Below are 26,256 nucleotides of genomic sequence, written 5' to 3' on the forward strand. Positions count from 1 at the left end.
TTCAAGGGGTGCATGAACAGGGCAGCTTTAAACAGCCAAATGAAATACATTGAAACCAAAAACATGCTTTTTGGTGGTGTCAACTGGATTGGAGTATTACTGGGCTCTCATATGTATTTGCGAAGACCTGGGTCACACATTCTTTTCTCTAATTTAACAGAAAGTTTACAGAACATAAAAGTAATATTTTCCTATTACATTTTCCCAAATTTAGTATTACTATGTATCAGACCTTGAAACACTTTTCCCTCTGTCTCTCTCTCTCTCGCACCCACAAACACACACACACATGTGCAAGTGTGTTCATACAACCCTTTTGAAAAATTAAAATTATGTTAGATATTATAATGTCACTTGAGGCAGGAAACTAAAGAGTCCACAGGAAAACTGACCACTTACTTAGTCCAGTGATGATAGGTCCCTGTCCCCCGGCCCCCACACCGGCTCCCCCAACGCCAGGAGAAAAGCCATTGCCTCCAGGGATGGGGATGAAGCCTGTCCCTCCTGGGCCATAGCCATTGCCATTGCCACTTGGGGCAAAGCCATTTCCCCCAGTGCCTCCAGGTCTGGAACCAGCACTCCCTGGAATTCCTCCCATTGGAAGTCCATCCATGCAAAGTCTGCGATATTCCTCTAGAAGAAAAGAAAGTTGGCATTAAGCACAGGTGAATGTCTTTCTGCATAACAAAAGCCATTGGTACACTGTACTAAGTCACTTTGGGTTACCTATACTACACAATATGATTAAGTAGGTTACTATCTCAATACATGTTTTTAATGCTGGCAGTAGCAAGAAAAAGATATAGAAGTTTTAGAAAAAATTTAAAACCTATATTGTCACATTATTTTAACTGAGTTGCATAAACAATCATTTACATGTGTATTTTTATTTTATGCACCTAAGTGCAACTCATAAAATTCCAGACATAATTATAAATACAGAAAATTTACTTGTACAGATAAAAGTTAAAGCTTTATGCTAATTCATTCTATCTGTATGGTTTTACTTACATTCTCTTCAGCATTATACCTATACATTTTTCCTGTCCATTTTTTTTCAGGAGATTAGGTATTAATATTGCTCCAGAATGATATTTTTTTCTAACTTGGATTTTAACGGTAGACAATATCAAGTAAGCTTTAAAATCTGCTCCTTTTTGTCCAGGTGACAAAGTTGAGTAAAGAGAAGCAAGAAGATAGCAATTGCCTTATTGCCTTAACTGTTTGCAGACTTAAGGCACTGTATCAGAAGGAAAAAAAATTATTAATTATATACTACTAGTGGAACTGGGAGAATCCAAAATTATTTACTAGGCATTAATTCTGCCCCTTTTTGTCTTACTAATAGATTTTGGTATTTTATGACTTAGAGATTTTGTAAGAATGATTAATGTGTCATGATATCTTTTCTGTTAACAGTACATATTGGCATAAATATTTGTAAGTATATTTGAAAACTTTAATTATTTTACACGCTTTTAATTCAATGAGAAAATGATAATAGAATTGAATATATTAATATATCTTTATGTGAGAAACATTAATTTGTACTTTACTACTCATATTACACGTAACAAGAGGAACTACTTCTCATTAACCCTAATTTCCCAATATAGCATCATTTATATGGCAGTTACCACAGCGTAGTTAATGAGAGCCATCATCATACTCTTGTATGATTAATTTTCAAGATCATGAGAAGAGAGGAAATATCTTCAAGGACTGAGACATTATAAGCTGAAGGTATTCCTGAAATAAAGTATAAATGAAGACAGAGTTTTCTTCCTCATAGATATTTGAGCTCTGGATGAAAGATCAGGAGGTTTAAAAACTGAATTGAAATACTAACATTCAAAATAATTTAAAAAACAACACTTGCACAAAAACAAGTCAAACAGCTTTCAGGTATTTGTCTGATGTTACTAAATTAGATATTATCAAAACTGATCCTAAATAACAATGCTATCACACTCCCCACAAAAACACTCAAGTCATACTGAAAACACACAAAGGAAAACAAATATGACTTGACTTCAAGGACAGGAGCAAAATATATACATATATTTTTGAGACAGGGTCTCGCTCTGTCACTCAGGCTGGAGTGCAGTGGCATGATCATGGATGGCTGTAGCCTCGACAGCCCAAGCTCATGTGATTCTCCCACCTCAGTCCCACAAGTATCTGGGATTACAGGCATGCACCACCATGCCCGGCTAATTTTTGTATTTTTTGTAGAGACAGGATTTCGCCATGTTGCCCAGGCTGGTTTTGAACTTCTGGACTCAAGCAATCCACCTGCCTTGGTCTCCCAGAGAGCAAAATACAGTACTGCTACTAATTTTCCTAACAGTGTCTGTGCTGAGGAGACTAACAGCCAGCCACGTACCAGAACCTCTGACAGGACAGGCTTCAGGAATGGTTCCGATGCCCCAGCAGCGGCCAGGCTCACAGCAGCACTGCATTTTCGTCATTCTCCCCGGGAGCTCTTGTGCACAGCGGCCATTCACCAGGCCCGAGAAACACATGCCTGTTCTCTGATCTGTGCATGTATAAATAAGACAGAAGATATGGCAGAATTACCTCAGGTTCTTACAACAATCACTGTACATGAGATGAATGTAGGTGAAGTGACTCATACCACTTAATCTCTGTTATCTATTCCTTTCTTCACTCTCTTAATATCTCAGACATTCATTGAGCCAGGGACAGAACAATGAAAGACGTGGAGCAGATAGGAGGACAGACTGCAGTAAGAAGCTAAAGTCAGGCAATTCTGAAGCTTGAAGGAAAGCAACAACCCAGTCCCAATCCTCAGCCTGGAGATGCGCACTGTTGTATGTCACTGTGATTTTGTGGTTGTCTGTAATGCAGCAACATCTGACTGATGATTTTATAAAAGTTGATCAGATGCAACCTGAAACAGTGACATTTGAGAAGGCAGCTGACTAAAATGAGGGCATGAGCCATGGAAGTATCTGAGGAAAGAGCAGCTTCTGAGGAAGAAGAGAATGTGCTTCATGTGTGTGAAGAAAGATGGGCCACTATGACTAGAGAACAGCATGTGGAAGGGAAAGTGCAGGAGCATGAGCTCAGAGAGACAGCAGAGGCTATCATGGATGGTCCTATAGGCCATTAGGAAAGGACCTTGGGATTTCACTTGGATTTCGAGTGGAGGGTTTGGAGATTTCCTGGATGGTTACAATGAGAGAAGACAATGGTTTACATTTTTAAGAAGATCTCTTTGGCTGCGATGAGAACTGACTGTAGCCAGAGCACAGAGACCAGTGAGGAGGACACTGAAGACATTCAGGTGAGAGATGATGGTGGCTTTGATGAGGGTGGCAGCAGTGGAGATGATGAGGCTGAGCAGAGGGCAGACATGTTTTGAAGGTACAGCCAATGGGAACTTGCTTGGGTGTGGGGTATGGAAGAAAGAGAGTCTTAGACATTTCCTAAGTTTTTGACTTACACAGCTGAGATGGGGATGGCGAGGGAAGAAACGGGATTAGAGAACACAAGACAAGGCTCCTCTTTAAAACATGTTATATTTGGAATGTTGAATAAATGAGCCTGGAATGCAGAAGCATAGTCAGGCTGAACATATATATCTGTGAATTGTCAGTGTATATATGTCATTCTAAGCCAGAGCCAGATGAGACAGTTTCAAGAACTAGGGAAAACTGACTGTGCCAAACTAGATATTGAGAGGCAAAATAAGGTGACCACTCAGAGGTAAGCACAGTTTGGCAGGAGTGCTATGGTAAAGAGTCTGTGCATTATCCAGTAGGATTTGATGTAAGGAAGTGACATGATCAAATATGACTGTAATAGAGGTCAATCTGATAGCAGAATACACAATGGATCAAAATGATCAGATAAAGGCTAGAAGACAGGTTATGATGATTGCAAAAGACTGCATAAAATGCAAAGTTGCATAGGGATAAATTATCAATATCATCTGTAAACTTTATGGGTTATAACTGAAACTGCCTTTATAGTAACCAATGGAAAAAACTGTGAGCTTCATTAACAACATATTATTCAACCCTATCAAGATGCTTTCAAAGTTGTTTTGTCTATGATCACAAGAAGAAAGATGTACCACAGCAATCAGGATCTGCATATCAATAATGAAGATGAAACTGTTAATTGCTTATAATTCCATTAACAGGTAAAGTTAAAATTTTTAGCACTGGATACAGAGTTTAAAGTAAGCACATTATGTCCTCTAATGGCCCATATATAGCATGCCTCAGATTGCTTTTAAGCTATCATAAAATAAATGAATTACCTTTAAGATACTCTGTATAAGAATCGAACAACTCCTTCTATTTCTCCCCAAAATCCCAGTAAGACCCAAAACCGAGCACTAAATGTGATGTATGCACACATAATTAAAGGCACTGCAGAAATTTCAAAAACTTGAGTTGGATTTGGACAGGCTGTCATTAGGAATAATTTCACAACTAAGTTTCTATTCCTAAGAATAATCACAGGAAACAATTTTTGGAATATTCATTTTATGAACCCGAAGTATCATATACTACCTCCTCAAGGCCAGGATGTAAATTAAAATAAGAAAGTTCCAAACTCTTAACAATAATCACTAACGTTATAAAACACAATCAGTGCTACAAGTTAGGATGAATATATTTATCTCTTCAAGGCTTCTACAAGAAGGAGGTTGTAATATAGAATTTGAAAACGAAACAACAAAAAACAAAACCATAGCCTTGAGTCAAGAGACCTAGTTTTACATTCAAATATTATTAATTGTTCGATTTTCAACCGTATTTAACTCTTCTTCTGTACAGAACATGGTTGGTGGGAGAATGAAATAAAACAACATATGCTCTATTTCTTGCAGCTTTCATGGTGAATTAGCTACCCTGAATGTTCCTCTCAATTAAAATATCCTGGATAAAATGTGAAAAAATATTTAAAAACACATCATCCAGCTCGCATGAAATGAAGGATAAAACAGAGTCCCTAAATGAGGTGAAATGAGAATCTTAGGAGGTATTTGAACAACTAATTTCACCTTTAGGCTACTATTAAACTCCGGAGACTGTGAATTTCAACTCTGATAGTTTCACAGTGCCCGGGGCATAAGACATAAAAAGCCCAGATTCCACTCTCCCCCAATACATAACAGAAAACTCCCTCGTAAGGTAGGGTTCCAAAGAGCCATATGCTTAGTTTATGGATATAGTATATGGATAAGGTAATGGAGGCAACTAAGAAACTTGCCTGTCTCTACCTTGATGCTCTGTGGAGGAAAAAAAAAAGATCTCTCTTAAGAATCTGTAACCACAAGGTCTTCCTCACATCAATAGCTTTGATGCCTCAATTCATAGTAGGTTTTTGGTCTGAAGAACTTCAAAGGAAGAATATAACGTAAAGAGGTTCTCAGGTTAGAGACACTCCAAGCAACTCACAAGAGCCAACACAATTAGAGGACCTAATATTAATGAAAGTCTCAAAAAATTCTCATAAAGTTCCTAGAAAAAAGAGCTGCTAACAGGAAAATACATTAATAACACACTAAGGAACAAAAACTAGTTAAGTAACCAGTATATTTTTGATATTGAAATGGTCAGATCAATTCTGACAATTATTATTTTAAATTATTAATAATTAAATATTAATTAATAACTAAATTATATTTAATATATTTAAAGCAATTCAAGTCTGAAGACATGAACAAGGGGAAAAGGCCCATAAACAATGAATAGGAACAGACTTAAAAGAGATCAAACTTCTATAAATGAAATGAAATAAAGTATCTGACAAATACATTACACAAGTGTATTGCACATGGATAAAGAAAATTACTGAGTTGGCAGATATATATGAATATATTATCTTCAATTAGCACATAGAGACAAAGACACTGAAACGTTAAAAAGAGGTTAAGAAATATGAAGGTGAGAATGAAAAGCTAATTAGATGTACACCTGTGTACATCTGATATGGTTTGGCTGTGTCCCCACCCAAATCTCATCGTGAATTCCCACATGTTGTGGGAGGGACCTGGTGGGAGGTAACTGAATCACGGGGGCAGGACTTTCCTGTGCTGTTCTTGTGATAGTGAATAAGTCTCAAGAGATCTGATAGTTTTAAAAACAGGAGTTTCCCTGCACAAGCTCTTCTCTGGTCTGCCACCACGTGAGTCGTGCCTTTCACCTTGCACCATGAATGTGAGGCCTCCCCAGCCATATGGAACTGTAAGTCCAATAAATCTCTGTCTTCTGTAAATTGCCCAGTCTCGGGTATGTCTTTATCAGCAGCATGAAAACAGACTAATACAACATGTAATAAGAGTACTAGGAAGAGTAATAAGCAGAATGGGAAAGAAGCAGTATTTAATGGATACTAACTTAGAACTTTCTAGCAATGTTGTAAGACCTCAGATATAAGAAGTCCAATACATTCAAAGTAGGAAAAATAAACAGAGATACACAATTAGCCATACCACTGTGAAACTGCAGAACTACAAAGGTAAAGATCTTAAAAATAGGTGGAAAAACAAGACAGATCACCTGCTGAGAAACGGTATTTTAAAAAAATAAATTGCTGACTTTTTGGCAGCACCAATGGATGCCAGAACACAATGAAATAATATCTTAGTATACTCTGATAAAATAACTGTCAACTTAAAATTCTGTACTGTGATAAATCATGTTTGCAGAGGGCAAATTAAGGTAATTTTCAAGAAAACAAAACCAGAGTTTTCTACCAAGAGTTTTTTTGATAAACAAAATGTTGAAAGAGGCACTTCAGGCAAAAGAAAAAGATCCCAATGGAAGGTTTGAGATGCAGGAAGAAATGATGAGCAAAAAATATTAAATAAGTGGGTAAATCTAAATAAGTACTAACATATTAAACAATAATGATTAAGTTGTCACACATAGGAATGGCAATATACTAGATTTTAAAAAGTTGTGAGGGGAAGATCAAAGTTTAACCACTTAAATATTCTTTTATTATTTATATATAGGCAAACATACAGGTAATTTTAAATATGCATCTTAAAACAGCTAGGATAGCCACTGAAGCAACAGAAATAAAGTACATAACTTCTTAACAAATAGGAGAAAGAGAATCGAGTTCACGGCAGCAGGTCGGGGGGATCCTGAACAAATCTAAAAGAAACCAAGAAAGGAGAAAAAAATACAAAAAAAGTAAGATAAGTAGGAAGCACAAGGACTATGGTAAAAATAAAAACAAATATATCAGTAATATAATAAATACACATGGATTTAAATCTCAACTGAAGAGACAAAGATTTACAGACTGTAAAAATAAAACAAAAAATAGATATAGGCTGTTTAAAAGAAATGCATTTAAAACATAAGGAAGAGGAAAGATTGAGAGGGAAAATACATAGTAGGTATATACTTAAAGCTTCTGCTACCAGAAGCTTTATTTTTTGGTTTATTTTGTGATACAAAACAAACCAGAGTATACTAAGATATTTTGTGATACAAAATAAACCAAAAGAAAATATTTAGAAATAGACCACAAATAAAGAAAAAAAAATAGAGTCAATACATAATTTTAAAACGGTTCAATTCACCAGGAAAATATGGCAGATACTTTTAAACATTTATCACTTATAGCATAAGATCAAACTATATAAAATAAAAAATTACTAGACTACATGGAGAAACTGAGAAATCTACCTCCACAGTGGAATATTTACATGACTTTTTCAGTAATAGATATAGTAGACAAAATTCTGTAGGTACAAAGAAAATTTGAATAGTACAGTTGTTTGATCTAATGGATATATCTACAATCTGGCACCCATCAATTGGAGAACACCCATCTTTTTCAAGTCCATAGGGAAGATTTATAAAAATAAATCATTTGTTAAACCATGAAGCAAATACTGTACCAGAATATTTCCAAGAATTGGTATCAACTGGTAATATTCTTGGACCACAATGTATGAAATGAAGTTGGAAATCAATAACAAAATAAACAAGAAAACATCCTATACTTCTAAACAATTCATGGACCAAATACAGTAACACATTTTATACATAAGGTAATATGTATAAAAATGCTGATATGGTTTGGTTGTGTCCCCACCCAAATCTCAACTTGAATTGTATCTCCCAGAATTCCCACATGTGGTGGGAGGGACCCAGAGGGAGGTAACTGAATAATGGGGGCCGGTCTTTCCCATGCTATTCTCATGGTAGTGACTAAGTCTCACAAGATCTGATGGGTTTATCGGTGGTTTCTGCTTTTGCTTCTTCCTCATTTTCTCCTGCTGCTGCCATGTAAGAAGTGCCTTTCACCTCCTGCCCTGATTCTGAGGCCTTCCCAGCCATGTGGAACTGTAAGTCCAATTAAACCTCTTTTTCTTCCAAGTCTCTGGTATGTCTTTCTCAGCAGTGAGAAAACAGACTAATATAAATGTCAATCAAAATGTTGCAAGTACTTATCAGGAATCCATTCTATACCAATCCCCAGACTTTGGGAGTATGCAATGATATTGAGAGGGGTTCACAAATGCATATTTTCATTGAACACTGCAATGTAACACTTAACAGTTTATTGGCACTACCATGATTCACATTTATGAATATGCCACTATAGCTAATAAAATCCAAATTCATTTATCATTATTACTAAATATCCAAGAACATTTTCATTATGTATGCTCTCACGAATATTAAATTATCATAATGTGAGGATCTGAAGTACATTTTTTATGTTAAAGAGAGGTCTTTAAATTAAAAAAATTAATAGCTGGCTGGGCACAGTGGCTCACACCTGTAATCCCAGCACTTTGGGAGGCCGAGGTGGGTGGATCACAAGGTCAGGAGATAGAGACCATCCTGGCCAACATGGTGAAACCCCATCTCTACTAAAATACAAAAAATTAGCCCAGCGTGGTGGCACGTTGCTGTAGTCCCAGCTACTTGGAAGGCTGAGGCAGGGTAATCACTTGAACCCGGGAGGTGGAGCTTGCAGTGAGCCGATATCACGCCACTGCACTCCAGCCTGGTGACAAAGCAAGATTCCGTCTCAAAGAAAAAATAATACTAATAATAACCATTGTTCTACACAGTTTGGAAACCTCTGGTCAGTCCTGTAATACATGTACTGAAGGAAACTAAGTCATAGGTGAGAGGGTAGAGAGGCAGCAACAGAGGACTGCAAAGTAAATTGTAACTTTTTTCATAAATTCTACAATTAGCTTTTTCTAGTAACAAAAAGGAGGCAGGCAACCTACTTCTCATTTCTTGAGCCAAAACCTACCAGGATGAGACATACACTGGTGTAGCATCTCACAGTTAAGGTCTCCAAAAAGGCATATTTCAAAGCAAATCAGAGGCTGGGAATTACCTCTCTTTCCTTTGTATGAAATTTCATGGCCCTTAGAAAGCACTGTATTAAAAAATGTATCATGTGGAAAAATATTTGAAATAAAAAAGAGGCACCTGTTAGAAACAAGAGTTGTCCAGGCACACTATTCCTTGAAACAGGGAATCATTAGGGGCAAAGCCAGATGAAAGCCTGTAAAAACAAAATCCCTCTAATGCTTGCTATATGTTTAACTGTAGAACCAATGTGTCCTAAGTAATGAAAACAAGTCTATTCCTCTAATCATTTTCTATCGCCCTTACTACATTTCCTGAACAAGGCTTACAAGGAGTCATATTTACAGTCACACCGAGAAACAGGAAGTAATTCATCTCCTCTGATTAAAATATAAATCTATTTTGAAACGTAATAAAGGTACACTTATCAGAGTTTGTTTCATAGCTTGACATTTTGTGTAAACTTGATTTAAGAGAACTAATGGTTAATTATACAATGTGATGAAAACTTGGCAAAAATTGGGGATTGTATGTTGAAATAAATGTCTCCTGTGGAATTAGGTTTGCTCATTAAGAAATGAAGGGTTCAGCCAGAAAACACCAATGAGATTAGCCCAGGTCAGAACAATAGTGATAGACAGTAGGTGTTCGGTAAATAGCAGCCATTGTCTCATGCTTGTCTCCTGAGACTGGATGCCTGCACTCACCTCTTTGATGGTCTGGTTCCAGCCTGGGCTCCCCTTGATTGATTTTGCGGATTCTTACTATTCCTAAAATACTTTCATGTTTACATTGTTTAAGAGTAACTATAGAACTAGGAGCAATGAAAAGGAACCACTGTGGATCCCAGGTTTATTTCTTCCTTTAAAATAGTGAATGACGGGCTTCTTCCTCACTGTAAGGAAAACTTCTCCTTCTAACACACTTCTTCCTTTCTTAATTAAAACTGATATCCTCATACTCTTTCATTTCTGGTTCCCTCTTTAGTTAAATAATTTTGGGTTCTCCAAGTGTTTTGTTTCAAATGCACACATGCATGTGGAATCAACAGCCAGCGTTACATAGAGTGCTGTGTAATACATAAATAATTCTGTACCTTGCCCTTTTCTTGAAAAAGGAAAAAAAAAACCCATATACTGGTCATCACTTCTGCCTCAAACTTTCTTTTATATTGGTATTATATTTTTTCACATTATGTTTTCAGGTTTTGTTTTTTCAAGAATACTCCACAGCAGTATTGTGCACTAACACGTTTGGAAAGCTTGAGGAAATGCCTTAGCATGCTGTGGCACCATCATATTACTGGAAGAATTTCTAAATGCTTAATCCCATTTTCTGAACTTAACTGGCCCTTTTGGGTCCCTGTGCTTAGGGTCCTTTCTCACCCTGTGTACACAATAGCAGCAGACACATTATCCTGCACACAGAAGTTGCTCACTGCTCTTTGCCAACGCGTTATTTATTGCTGGCTGCCAGCCATTCTTCTGTGCCTATATAACAATGTGCAAATTAGGTATTAATCATTCCTTGGACATGACCATGACAGTTACTTCCAAAATGACTTAAGGCTTATTAAGTAGTGCTATTTAAAACGCTTTTTAGAGAAATATTATTAGGTACGTTTTAACTCCTTTTTTTTTTGGAACTGGCACATGTTAGTGCTCTATGCTAAAAAACAGTTCTTTCCTGGATATATAAAAAGATGATTAAACACACTAGATAGATAAACAAATCAGAAATTTGACTTTTATATTTAGTATACAATGAAAGCGGAAAATTATCGTGTCTTATAATTAAATTGCCTGGTTAAACTCTCCTACCATGTGAAACTGTTTTCCAGCACACAAAAGAAATAGGATCAAGTTTACTGATGCTTTGTCATGTGGTATACACTCAGAATATCTGTGTTAACTAGAATAAGAAATTAAGACAAAATTCAGCAAATGTCACTTTCAGCACATGTGAGCTCTCAGAATAAAGCTGCAGATAACACGCAGTTTAGTATTAAAAAGAGCTTTAAGTTCATCCAACTCTTTATTAGCATACATGTGGTTAGAAAATAAATAGCGTGCAAATATCTCCAACATATATAATTCAACCAAATAAATTCAATCTGAGAAAATACAGACTCAGAATTTTAGAAATCAAAGATCTCGTACACATTAATATGTTAGATTAATTTTTTCTCATGTATGGAAAACACATACTTATTCCAAATGTAACATAGTTATTCAAAACATTTTTAAGCTGCTTACTTAATTATAACACTGGTTTTGTAATTCTGGAGAGCCATTCTCCCTTCCCTAGAGACCTTCCTTTGTTCCTAGTGTTCAGGATGTTGATAGTGAAATGAATGGGACTCCTGGTTAGTGCAGGACTTAGCTTTCCGAACCTCAAGTTAGCTCTTGCTTTATGAGCATCCAGGACCGTAATTCAGTGGCACGACATCATGTCCAAAGAGATGCCAAAGGCTGCAAGGCCGCTATAATCAACATGAAGTTCTTACATTCAATATCATCTCATTCATTCATTTGCTGGTTTTCCTGTTCATTCAGAAAAGATTTACTCAGCACAAACTTCTATGCAAGATGCCTATTACATAAAGCCCAGGGTCCATGAAGCTGCATAAGACAGGGCCTAACAAAGCCCACAGTCTAGCCAGTGAGTAACGCAGAAGTACCTGTGACAATGCAGTAAACCCTAAAATGAAGCAAATGAAAACATATTTCATTTCATTTCAAAATGGTGGGGCTGATTAATTTTGCCCAAGAAGAAAATGTAGTTTAGGTGAAACGGCTACAAAGAAAAGCGATACTGGCCAGAGGTCATGGCTCATGCCTTTAATTCCAGCACTTTGGGAGGTCAAGGCGGGTGGATTACCTGAGGTCAGGAGTTCGAGACCAGCCTGGCCCACACAGGAAAACCCTGTCTCTACTAAAAATACAAACATTAGCCAGCGTAGTGGTGGGTGCCTGTAATCCCAGTTACTCAGGAGGCTGAGGTGGGACAATTGCTTGAACCAAGGAGGCAGAGGTTGCAGCAAGCTGAGATGGTGCCACTGCATTCCAACCTGGGTGACACTGCATTCCAGCCTGGGTGACACAGCTAGACTCCATCTTTAAAAAACAAAAAAGGAAAAGTGATACCTATTTTGGGACTTAAAGGGTGAGCTGGATTTTAATGAGCATAGAAGGGGAAAAACAAGATGCTTCGGGCAGAGGGGGTACTGCTGGCAAAGGCATGGCAGTGTGGTCTTGTACAACAATGAGGGAAATACAAGTGTGAGGTGGCAAGTGGTTAGAGATGACTCAGGAATACAGGTTAGGTAAGGCTTTGAATGTTCAGGTAGAGACTTAGGACTTTATAACATAAGGAGGCAAGAGATAAAAAGAGTTTATCATAATTTTTTGGTAAATCAAAACTCTCCTCTAAGAAAACCCACCTTAGTAAATCATTAGGTACGTTGGTCTTATCTGAATAAAATGAGGATTCATGCTTCTTTTCCAATGCAGAACAAAAATATGAATGCAAGTTTTGTTTGACTAGAGAAAGATTTTGAAATGTAAGTGAGTAAATAAAAAGAAGTAATTTAGAAATGGGGAATAAAACGCTGAAACTTGTTTTGGCAATTCTACCTCATAACTAGTTTCATTTCTCTCTATTCTCAAGCCCCCAACCCTGCATTACAATTTGTTCTCAAAAGCCTTCAATTACTCCACATTGATTACCAAATAAAATACATGTGCTGTATTTGGTATTTCCAGAACTTCACAATAATAACCTCACTTCCTTCTCCAGGCATATTTCTTCTAGCAATATTCTAGGAGACAAGTTTCCGGAAGCCAGGTTCTACAGCACCCAGACAACAGTGTTCAATGACGACTCCCACGGCGACGTTTCTCCTAAAGAGTTGAATCTATACCTATTCCAAGCTGATTATTTTGTGTTCGCATATGCACGTGTGCATAAACATATTATTTTCCTATAGAGTTCAAGAAAATCAAGCCAGATGTAGGTAGTTGCACTAATTTTCAACTCTCATAGAAAGCTGACAGCCAAATTATAAAGTAGTTCTCCCTTATCTGCGGGGGATACGTTTTAAGATCTCCAGTGGATGCCTGAAACCTTGAATGGAGCTGAATCCAACTGCTTTCAATTTGAACACGTTTCTGTTCATATCTTCCACCCACAAATTTAATTCCTTTTCCATCTTAACTACACTTATCACACATTGTGGCTGTAACTTTTGCAGTGTGAGGTGCAATAACAAAACTAACATGAAATTCTTTTTCTTCATTCACAATTTCATGGATAGACTTGTTCTTACCATAGATCTTAGCAACCTCAGCATACGATTTCTTTCCTTTCCTTGCTAAGTAGAGAACTTCCACCTGTTCACTTAAAAGAAGTACTTTATGGCTTCTCATTTTATATATATCTGAATTGCTAGCATCAATACTCTTGGGTTCAGGGGCCATGATGAAGTATAATAAGGTCACTTGCACATAAGCACTGCGATACTGTCAGTTGGTCTGATAACTGAGATGGCTACTAAGTGACTAGTGGGTGCGGAGCCTATACAGCATGGATATGCTGGGAAAAAGAGGAGTCATACCCTGGACGGGCTGGTGTGAAAGTTCACTGTGCTACTCAGAATGATGTACAATTTAAAATTTATGAATTGTTTATTTCTGGAATGTTCCATCTAATATTTTTGAATCACAGTGGGAACTGCAGAAAACAAAACCATGGAAAGTGAAACCGTGGATAAGGGGGAATTAGAGTATTAAATGAATCAAACTTACTACACAGTGAGCCAACTGGCAACAGTAACCCTAAAATAGTTTATCTGCTCAGTTATACAGACTTAATATTTCACGAAAAATGATTTACCTAATGCAAGATAGAAACTCTGATTCATCTGTAAAACACAAACAATTCTCATTCAAAGACACGACATGAGGCTCCCAACAGACATCTTACTTCTCAAAGCAGGCTGTTAGCATGACAGTGAAGAAATCAGTCATGCTGGAGGCCCTGACATCTAGCCACAGGATCTCCACAGCCTTAAAGTGGGTAAATGGTAGTTCAGTGTCACAGTAGCACAAGAGGCTGGAGTCAGAGAGGTCAGGATTTGAATCCTGGCTCCATTCATTGGCTGCAAAACACTGGGCAAGTCACTTAACCTCTCTAAACCATATTTCTTTTATTTGTAAATTTGGAATAACTATACTTATCACACAGGGCTATTAGAAGGACCATATGACATATTTATATAGGTCCAGAGCAGGCATATCCTCCTCCTCCTCTTAATAAGAATAATAATGAAGAATATTTTATTGGACACTTATTAGAAGAAACTGAAGTGTAGAGAAGATGGTAGCTTGCCTGACTCCTCACAGCTATGAGATAATGAGGTAGTGGAGAAGCCCAGTGCCTTACACACGGTATGTGTAATATCTTAAATGACAGCTATTATTTTTACTACTACTACTGTTTCTTCTATTACTGCTATTAGTAGGCTTCTACTGTTATTTATGATGACAATATGGCATTCTGAAGGCAGGATTTGTATCTCTTATGTTCACTGCTGGATGACCTGATATATCAGTACATTTAATCAAATGAATTCAGGCCACAGTCCTTTTATTGGTGGCCTACGACTTCTAGCTTACATCCTTGACTCTGTATTTCCATCTCATCAACTCAGTTCTCTTGGGCACATGAGAATCATCAGGGAATCATCAAGACCTACAGAGATCCTGGCAGTTGGTTGCTGACATACTAACTGCCTGGTTTGGGGAGAGAGAGACACTGCCCAAACGGCCACCCTCTAGTGGACCAAACAACACCATTCTTTAAGTATTGGATTAATTTTCCTAATTCCTGCACTACATGAATCTTTAGTGCCAGTAAAGATAACAGTGCCTCTTTTTTCCTCTCTTTTTACCTATTGTCAGCTTAAAATTGGAATAGACTAGGTTAAAAGCTCAGGAAGGGAAATGTGAGGGTAGCTCACTGTGCTGTGATTATGCATCAAAAGACACTTCATAATCTCTATGCTCGCAATAAGACAGATGTCTAAGCCTTGCTCAATAACAGATTACCTTCACCATGACTGTAGCACTATTGCATCTTTCTAAATAAACAAGGGAGAGCATACAATGGTTTTAATTTGAATATATTTAAACACAAAATTAAAGGTGTCTTTTTTGTATAGTAACTATTTTCAATAGAATAAACAAGTTCTAAGTAAATAAGATGTTAATAACATTCATGATTCATAGCACAAAAGAAGCTTTAATTACTACATTCTGTCTCCCAAAGCAGATTTTAAAAAATTTTTCTCGTGCCTTTGTGTCTTTCTTTATTCCCAAAATGACTTTGACAACATAAAACAAACCCAGTTGGATTCTGAAACTGAAGTCTTTGCAAAGAGTACCTGGTCTATCAATCCCTCAATACTGGTACCGTTTACATTAAACAACTCATTCAGCCATTTCTTCAATATTTTATAATCGTTGCCATCTTCATACCTGTTTGGGCTGTTTTGTCATTATAAAGACCCAGTGTATTGAGCCTTCAAAATGCGAGGCTTACCGATGCATCGAGAGCCATCTGTTGAGGTTACATATCCACGTGGACAAACACAAAAATAGCTTCCCACGGTGTTGGAACATTCACCAGTTTCACATATCCCAGGAATGATGCTGCACTCATCAATGTCTAATCAAGGGAAGAAGGAGAAGATGATTGAGAAAGGCCTTCATTAAATAGCTTTTAAAAGAGATTTTTTTTTTAAGAGTATGAGAGCATTCATGGTTGATTAGGTCAGATCATATAACCCTGAAGATACTCTTGTTTCAGGCCCCAAAGAATTTCTCACACATATCTATGGGAACTGAGATGAAAGTAAACTCCCATGGCAGTTAAAACAAGGCCAACTAAAGCAGAACTCTATACCCTTTTTTAAAAATGCAATTTAAATTGGAAATAAGTAAAGATGTCAATGTTTTAGTTTCCATTCTACATCAACTAGGGAATTATCCTACTAGAGCCTTTAAAAAAACACATACATGGATTACATTTTAAAATATAGAATAACTGTATTTGAAAATGTATAACTAATTTTCACACTATTTGAAGCAATGAAGAGTGGCAAATAACTTTTTTTTAAACTTGGCTTCAGGATATGTTTTTGTACTTACATTTGAATATGGGAGTATTTGACATTCTGGGAACAACTTCAATCTAAAATAATACAGAAACATGGTAAAGGGCAAAAACTTGGGAGGCTTTGGGAAGTGTCCAGTTTTCCTATTGTACCTCCCTACATTTATCCATTCAGCATACTCAATGCTGGAAATAGTCTATTTCCTTTCCCATTAATGAAAAGTCTGCTTTCTTTAAAATTTTCCTTAAAGCAGAAAACCCAGTCATTTATATAAACTTTTAATGTACTTCTCTTCTAGTTCAGTAAGCAGAGAGAGGTGGGAAGTCTAACAAAGCTGCAATTAGGGATAACTGGGAGCTAATTGCTAATACATTTAAAAAGGAAATGAGTCATTGTGAGAAAAATCCACCCAAATTCCTGGGAGGTGGCTGTCTTTTTTAATGAACAGAGGTAGCAAAAGCCAGTAACTAGAAGAAACAACAATAAAAGCCATACATACAGATAATTACTGAAAAGTCAAAATAAGCTGACTTTTAGTTTTTCTCTTTTCAGTTGCATTTATTCTTTTAAAATGTCCAATAAAAAAGGAAAAATAATTATATTCCTATTATAAACACACAAAATATGTTTAACCCCACGCTTAAAAAGAAAAAGGTTGCCAATGCCTTTCTTACATCCTTTTATTGGTCTATTCATTATTTTTTTCCATTTATTCTGGCAAGTCACTCTTGCCTACAAGCTTTATCATGAAATAACTATACGCTGTGTGTCTTCTTGGCATGTTCTTATAAAAAAAGTTACCAGATTCAGACATTCTATGAAATAATATCTTCATTTGAGGCTTAACACTTAGCCACTGAAGGCACAGAGGTACAAATCAAAAATCTACCAATTTCCCAAGAGAGATCAGAATTCTAACATGAATTGACTACATGAGGAGTAAATACAAAATGTGGTCAAAGAGCTGCCATCAGACTTAATCCAACAAAATAAAACCACGTGTGCAAAATTAGGTCCTGTTGCATCCTGTGTTGCTATCTTAGTGCAGTGCATCTTAATACAACTGAGCATGGATTCAAAAGAGAGATGAAACTAAACAGCTGTACTTTAATTACCACAGAAACTTATCACCTCTGGATAAGGAAGAGAAAAAGAAAAGAAAGAAAAGAAGGATACAAGGTAAAGCAAGCATTAAAAAAGTGAAGAACTAAAACTTGCCTTCTCACTCTCTTAACATCTAAAATTATATGAATTATCAAGGTGCTTATGAAGCCCAGGATTTATGCAAAATATTAAACATTAAGAGACTCAACTTTTTCATTTAAACATTGGCTTTTATTTCTAGGCATTTCGTTTCATAATAAACAACTTCCCTATGCCCTAGTCTTAAAACTCTTCCTGACAATAAAAAGAACAGAAAATTAAAAGATGTTTGACATTTTCTTTTTTTGGATAAAATAAATCTGGGACATAGAAGGACATGTGGAGTGACATTAAATTTGTGGTTTTTCTGTTAACAATTTTATTGTGCAAAAAAAACCTATGTGTTTCACAATTCTCCTTACAGTTGAGTAGGAACCCTAAAAGGTTAGCTTCAAAATAATTATACATAAAAGGCTCTCAGGTTTTGTATAAAAAATAGAAATGCTTTTAATTCATTTTTGGGCTAGACATCTACCATATTTTAAAAATTTAAAAATAAGGTGCTTTTTTAAAACAACAACAACAAAACCCCAAAATACTGACCAAAACCCCTGCATTTTAATACAGTGTTGCCCAATTGAGATGGGAGAGTTCCCTCGAGCCCCTCACAGGACTTGAGACAGGGGTGGCTTGTTTACTTGGCTGCCATGCTCAAACCCTTTGCTGGAGGGGAGCACACAGGTGAGCAGGTGCAGGAGCCAGGATGAGTGTTTCCGGATGCCGGCAGGAACAAACCCTGTACCAGCCCACGGCAGTGTCTAGGTGTTGCCGGTGACCTGTGGAGCCCCAGAAGGTGTGTGTTACAAACAATGCTTTTTTAGCTTTGCCATTTGCAGATGGCTTAAATGTTAAAAAGCTCATGCCCAGTGTTTTCAAATTCTTGTCTGGTGTCCAGGGAGAATCAGGTCACGTGAATGAATTGAAGGATGGTGTATGCAGAGGATTTTATTGAGCGATGGAAGTGGCTTTCAGTGGGATGGGGAGGTGGAAAGCGGACGGAGTGGGAAGATTATCTTCCCCTGGAGTTTGGTCATCCCTAGCGGAACTCCTCTCTGACCGTCCCCAGCTGAACTCCTCTCCAACCGTAGTCTCTGATGTCCAGCTGCCTCTTCTCCTCTCGACATTCAGATGCTTCTTCTCTCCTTCCTTGCCATGGTGCTCTGCTCCTTTGCCAGTGGAGCTTGGGGTTTTTATAGGTACAGGGTAGGGGATATGGTGGGCCAGGGTGGTTTTGGAAAAGGCAACATTCGGGCAGGAAAGCAGGAATTCATGATCTCATTTAGGGTCGCAGGTCCAGGCTTGAGGGTGGAGCCCTCGCCAGGGACCCCCACCCCGTCTTCGACCTAGTATTTCCCTGCCTCCTGTCTGTATCACAATGTTTATCCATCAATTTAAATTTAGCATTAGCATTTATGTTCAGAAGGATACATGCATTTAGCTCTTTTGAATATTAGTTCTTCAATACTGTATGTCATAATCAGATTTGGAAGTATTATATCCACAAATATAAAGCATATATTATCTATGTATAAACAAGTGTGCCTAAAGGTGACAAGTCTGCTCATGGGAAAAAGCAGAGTCTTAACAATGGGAATTGGTTTCATCCATGTTCTGCACACTGAATATACTGCCACCCATCTCTCCTTGATCTTTTTTGAAACTATATCAGTTTGCAGCTTTGGTCTGCAAATATCAGAAAAACTGATTTAAACTGATATAAATCAAAAATTTAATAGCTGTCATATCTGAAGTCTAGAAGTGGTTTCAACCAATGTGTCTTGTTCAGTTTCTGTGAGATATGTTCAACTAGGCCTTCCTCTGTATTTTGACTTGAGCTGCCTTCCCTGATGGGAGCAAAATGGATACAGCAGCTTTAGGCTATTCCTTTGACTGGGACACCTAGTGGAAGAGAGTGTCTTTTCCAGTGCTCTCTCCTGAGAGGAAGAAAACTTTTTCCAGAAGCCCCCAGCAAATCATCCCTTTTGTCCTAATTTCTAGAATTGGGTCACATGCTAATTTCTGAATGATGCCTCTGGCCAGGAAAATGTTCTGATTGGCATAGGCCTGGAGTCCTGAATGAATTTTTGTGGCCAGTCGAGTGAAGTTAGCTTCCAACTAATAAACAACAACAACAACAACAACAAAAAACAGCATGGGCAACTGGGTCTGAAAATACACCACAGTTGAAGAATGCACAGTGTACTAGAACAGCTGGGAAACTGATGGACAATAAGCTTAGCTAGTTAGGCATATGCTAAATCCTGAAAAGCCAAGCCAAGGACTGTGGCTTTTATTCTGAAGGTGATGAATAGTGTCTATGAAGGAGTTTAAACAAAAGAATTACATAAGCCTATCAATATTTTAGAAAGATAGTCCTTGTGTTTAATGTGGACAGATGATATAATAGTCCAGGGATAAATGTTGAGAACTTGAAGTAAGGCTTTATGATGAGGAAGGGAACATATATTCAGGATATAATTTGAAGGAAAAATCAACAGGAAGGACTTTGTCACCAGAAAGATATCTTACACTACTATTTTGATTGACAAGGATGATGACATAGTGCTATTAACAAAGAATGGAACACGAATGGAAGAACATGTTTTACAGTTAAGTTGAGCTTTGGACATTTTGATCCTGGGATGTTTGAGAGAAACCAGTAAAAATTCTAATCTACAGAGCTAAAAATTTGGGTATGAAACTTAGCAAAGAGGTAAATTATAAAGATGGACATTTGTGGTTTATCACCAAGTATAAGGATTGCCTTTGAAGTTATGGCAACATATGAGATTTCCAAAGAAGACAAATGAAAAGACTGGAATTGAAGGAGGAAACCATGAGAACTATCAACATCTAAGAAAAAGTCAGAGGAAGAAAAGCAGAATAGGAGTCTGGGAAGGAAGGATCATGGAGGAAGGAGGAAGAATGTGAAAAACGGAGGCTAAGGAAGAACACTGTGAAAACAGGGGGATTGTCAAGTGTGACTTCAAAGGGCAAAAAAAGAGAAAGACTGGGAAGTCTTCAGTAATGTGAAGACTCTGAACACAGGTTTTTTAAAAAAGGAAATCCAATCTAAACAAAACCATCTGACAGATTTCTGACTGCCAAACCACATAACCTCATATTTGTCAACCAACATTTCCTGTAAATCTTACACTAAACGGAATATAATGAATAATTTGATAAGTAGTGATAACATGATCTCAGATATCAATGAATTCTAAGAACACCCTAGAGAGACTGTCCATTCTTATAGGTACATGTCACAGAAAAAAAGCCATCCATGTAACAATTATGTTACAGAAGCTTAGTACAAATAAAACAAGAAATTTTGTTTTAAAAACATGTTCTTAGAACATTTTGTTTCCACTGATGCCAAGAACTATACATATTTGGAATATTCTGTATAATATCTTTTTGATATAGAAAAAAGTAAGCATATTTTTGCATACACTGAACTTCCACTTATTCGTATACTGTTTGACACTAGGAAAATTCATGATTGAAGTGTTAAGTGCAATAATTTGCTGCCTATTTCCAGCTTTTCTAAAGACAACAGGCAATATCAATATTACAAATTGCAATGGAAAATTGATGTCTGCTTTCCTCTTTTCAGATTTCAAAAGCATGGTGTGTATCAACTGTACTCAGAATTTCAATTTATAAACAGCTTTACTGAGACATGATTCACATGTCATACAATTCACACATTTAAAGTGTAAAACTCAAATGATTTTAGTGTAGTCACAAGGTTGTGCAGCCATAACTACAACCTGATTTCAGAACATTTTCATCCCCCCCCAAGGAAATTCCAGCCTATTAGCAATCATTCCTCCTATTCCTCTCCAAGCCCTACGCAACCACTGATCTCATTTCTGTCTCTATATATTTGTTTATTCTGGACATTTCATATAAATAGAATCATAAAATATGTGGTCCTTTGTGTCTGGCTTCTTTCACTTAGTTTATGTTTTCAAGGTTCATTCATGTTGGGGCATGTATCAGCACTTCATTCCTTTTAATTGCTAAATAATATTCTATTGTATGGATATACCACAGTTTATTCATTTATCAGTCAATGAATACTTGGGTTATTTCCATTTTTTATTTTTTGGCTATTATAAATAAAGTTGCCATGAACATTCAGGTATTCATTTTGTGTAGACATATGTTTTCATTTATCTTAGATATACACCTAGAAGTGGAATTGCTGAGTCATACAGTAATTCTATGTTTAACTTGTTGAGGAACTGACAAACTGTTTTCCAAAGCAGCTGTAATAATTTACATCCCCACTAGCAATATATGAGGGAGTCCTTCATACACACCACATCCTCACCTTCACTCATTATCTACTTTTTTTTTTGCTTGTAGGTGTGAAGTGGTATCACATTATAACTTGGTTTGCATTTGCCTGATGATTAATAATGATGAGCATATTTTCATGTCCTTATTTGCCGTTTGCGTATTGTCTTTGGAGAAATATCTGTTCAATTCCTTTGCCCAGTTTTTAATTAAGTTACTTATGTTTTTAACGAATGAGTTATAAAAATTCTTTACATATGTCCCACATGTTATATGATTTGCCTATGAATTTCCATGTAAACTTTTTAAAAAAGTTTTTCATTAAAATATAACATTTATACATTTTTATGGGACACATGGCATTTAGTTACACGCACAGAATGTGTAATGATCAAGTCAGGGCATTTAGGGTATCCCTCACATCTTGACTATCATTTCTATGTGGTAAAAATATTTCAAGTCCTCTCTTCTAGTTATTTTGAAATATAAAATACCTTGTTGTTAACTATAGTCACCCTACTCTTGTTATGAAACACTGGAACTTATTCCTTCTGTCTAACTGTATGTTTGTACACATTAAGTAACTTCTCTTCATCCTCCACTATGGCCAAACATCCTTCCCAGCCTTTGGTAACTCTTATTCTACTCTCTCACTCCATGAGATCAATTTTTATACACATATGAGTGAGACCATGAAATATTTGCCTTTATCTTCTGAACTCATTTCACTTAACATAAATACCCTCCAGTTCCACCCACGTTGCTGCAATTGACAGTATTTTATTCTTTTTTATAACCAAGTAGTATTTCATTGTGTATATATATCACATTTTTTTAATCCAGTCATCCAGTGACGAATGCTTAGGTTGATTCCATATCTTTGCTACAGTGAAAAGTGCTGCTATAAACATGAGGGTGCAGGTGTCCCTCTGATATAATAATTTCCTTTGAATAAATGCTATGTAGTGGAACTGCCAGATCACATGGCAGTTTTATTTGTAATTTTTTGAGAAATATCCATACTGTTTTCCATATTGGTTGTACTAATTTACATTACCACCAACAGTGTATAAGAGTTCCCTTTTCTCCACATCCTTACCAGCATCTGCTATTTTCTGTCTTTTTAATAATAGTGATTTTAACTGGAATAAGATGACATCTCATTGTAATTTTGATTTGCATGTCTCTCATGATTAGTAATACTGAGCATTTTTTCAAGTATCTCTTGACCATTTTTATGACTTCTTCTGAGAAATGTCCATAGTTTGCACTTTTTTTTTTTTTTTTTTAGACAGAGTTTTGCTCTTGCTGCCCAGGCTGGAGTGCAATGGGGCGATCTCGGCTCACCGCAACCTCTACCTCCCAGTTCAAGCAATTCTCCTGCTTCGGCCTCCCAAGTAGCTAGGATTACAGGCATGTACCATCACACCCAGCTAATTTTGTATTTTTAGTAGAGATGGGGTTTCTCCATGTTGAACAGGCTGGTCTCAAACTCCTGACCTCAGGTGATCTGCCCGCCTCAGCCTCCCAAAGTGTTGGGATTACAGGCGTGAGCCACTGAGCCCGAACCCATAGTTTGCAAACATTTTATCCAATTTAACAGGACTGACTCTTCACTCTGTGGATTATTTCCTTCGCTGTTCAGAAGCTTTTAGTTTAATAGAGTCCCATTTGTCAATTTTTGTTTTTGTTGCCTGTGCTTTTGAGTCGTAGTCATAAAATTCTTGCCCAGACAATGTCCTGGAGTGTTTCCCATATGCCTTCTTCTAGTAGTTTTATGGTTTCGGGTCTTATGTTTAGGTCTTTAATCCATCTTGAGCTAATTTTTGTATATGGTGAGAGACAGGGGTCTAGTTCCATTCTTCTGCATATAGATATCCAGTTTTCCCAGCACCATTTACTGAAAAGGATGTCCATTCCTCAATGTTGTTTTGGCACCTTTGGTGAAAATCTGTAAATAGGAGGATTTATTTCTGGGTTCTCCTGTTCCACTGGTCTAGTATCTGTTTTTATGCAAGTATCATGCTGTTTTGGTTACTAGAGCCTTGTAATATATTTTTGAAGTCAGGTTAGTGTGATGCCTCCATTGATTCTATATGAATTTTAGGATTGTTTTTTCTAATTCTGTGAAAAATGACATTCATATTTTGATAGGGATTGCACTGAATCTGTAGATTGTTTTGGGTAATATAATCATTTTAATGATATTAATTCTTCTGATCTATAAGCATGGAATGTCTTTCCATTTGTTTGTGTCCCCTTCAATTTCTTTCGTAAGTGTTTTGCAGTTTTCCTTATGGAAGAATTCACTTCCTTAGTTAAATTTATTCTTAAGTATTTTATTATTGTTTTTGCAGCGATGGTAAATAGAATTGCCTTTTGAGTTCTTTTTTTAGCTACTTCATTATTGGTATATAGAAATGCTACTGATTTTGTGCACTGATTTTTTTATCCTGAAAATTTACTGAATTTATTTATCAGATCTAAGAGGTTTTGGTGCAATTTTTAGGATTTCTAAATATAAGATCATGTCATCTACAAAGAGAGACAATTTGATTTCCTCTTTTCTAATTTGTATGCCTTTTATTTCTTTCTCTCTTGTCTGATTGCTCTGGCTAGGACTTCTGTAGTCTGTTCAATATAAGTGGTGAATGTAGGCATCGTCTTATTCCAGTTCTTCGAGGAAAGGCTTTCAGCTTTTCCCCATTCAGTATGGTGTCAGCTGTGAGTGTGTCATACATGGCATTTTTAATGTCGAGGTATGTTCCTTCTATGCATAGTTTGTGGAGGGATTTTTCATGAAGGGATGATGGATTTTATCAAATGCTTTTCCTGCATCTATTGAGATGATCATATGGTTTTCATCCTTCATTCTGCTGATGTGATGTATAATGCTTCTGGATTTGCATATGTTGAACTATCCTTGTATCTCTGGGATAAATCTCATTTGATTGTGGTGTGTTATCTTTCTGATGTGCTGTTGGATTCAGTTTGCTACTATTTTGTTGGGGATTTTTACGTCTATATTCATCAGGAATATTGGCCTGTAGTTCTTTTTTGTTGTTTTGTCCTTGTCTGGTTTTGTAGAATGCATTAAGGACAGTACTTTCCTTTTCAATTTTTGGGAATAGTTTGAGGAGAATTGGAGTTAGTTCTTCTTTATAATTTTGGTAGAATTTGGCAGTGAATACATCCAATCCTGGGCTTTTCTTTGTTGGGAGATGTTTTATTACTGATTAAGTCTTATTGCTTATATTGGCTTGTTCTGGTTTTCAATTTCTTCCTGATTCAATCTTGGTAGGCTGTATGTGTCCACAGATTTATCTATTTCTTCTAGACTTTCCAGTTTTTTAGTTATACCTGATTATAATAGTCTTTAATAATCTTTTGCATTCTGTGGTATCAGTTGTTATGTCTCCCTTTTCATTTCTAATTTTGATTAGTTAGTCATCTCAACTAATTTTGTTAGTCATCTCTCCTTCTTATTGATTACTCTAACTAGTGGTTTATCAATCATGTTTATCTTTTCAGAAAAACCAACTTTTCATTTTGTTGATCCTTTGTATTGTTTTTTCAGTCTCTATTTTGCTTAGTTTTGCTCTGATCTTTATTTCTTTCCTTCCACTAATTTTGGGTTTGGTTTGTTCTTGCTTTTCTAGTTCCTTGAGGTGCATCATTAATTGTTTTACTTAAAATCTTTGTACTTTTTCTGACCCAGGTATTTATTGCTACAAACTTTCCTCTTAGCATTACTTTTGTTGTATAACATAGGTTTTGGTATGTTGCGTTTCCATTGTCATTTGTTTCAAGACATTTTTAAAATGTCCTTATTCCTTTCTTCATTGACCCATTGATTTCATTCTTCAATGGTCATTTAGGAGCATGTTGTTGAATTTCCATTTATTTGTACATTTTTCAATGTTTCTCTTCTTATTGATTTCTTGTTTTATTCTATTGTGATCTGAGAAGATATGTGGTATGATTTTGATTTTTAAAAAATTTGTTGAGACTTGTTCTGTGACCTAACATATGGTCTCTATCCTGGAGAATATTCTATGTGCTGCTACGAAAAATGTGTATTTTGCATCCATATGAACTTTAAGATTAGTTCTTCAATTTCTGCAAAAAAGCAAGCTTCATTTTTGACAGGGATTGTGTTGCATTTACAGATCGACTTGGAGAGTACTGCCATCTTAACAATATTAAGTTTTTCAATCTGTAAGCATGGTGTATATT

The 26,256-nt window shown here is 36.5% G+C and overlaps 1 protein-coding gene across 2 annotated transcripts in view; it reads right to left on the bottom strand.

Annotated features, from left to right (window-relative positions):
* The window catches only part of FBN2 (fibrillin 2), a 280,337-nt gene that overhangs the window by 134,827 nt on the left and 119,254 nt on the right, over positions 1 to 26,256 (bottom strand). The window contains exons 8-10 of one of the 2 annotated variants that reach the window (NM_001999.4): positions 15,939 to 16,064; positions 2,387 to 2,539; positions 400 to 633 (exon numbers count right to left, since the gene is read on the bottom strand). In NM_001999.4, coding sequence (NP_001990.2) covers positions 400 to 633; positions 2,387 to 2,539; positions 15,939 to 16,064 — 513 coding nt within the window. The remainder of the gene's footprint in view (positions 1 to 399; positions 634 to 2,386; positions 2,540 to 15,938; positions 16,065 to 26,256) is intronic. The other variant, XM_017009228.3, reaches the window with a different exon arrangement.

This window comes from Homo sapiens, chromosome 5 (assembly GCF_000001405.40).
Source record: "Homo sapiens chromosome 5, GRCh38.p14 Primary Assembly".
In the NCBI taxonomy this organism is placed as follows: Eukaryota; Metazoa; Chordata; class Mammalia; order Primates; family Hominidae; genus Homo; species Homo sapiens.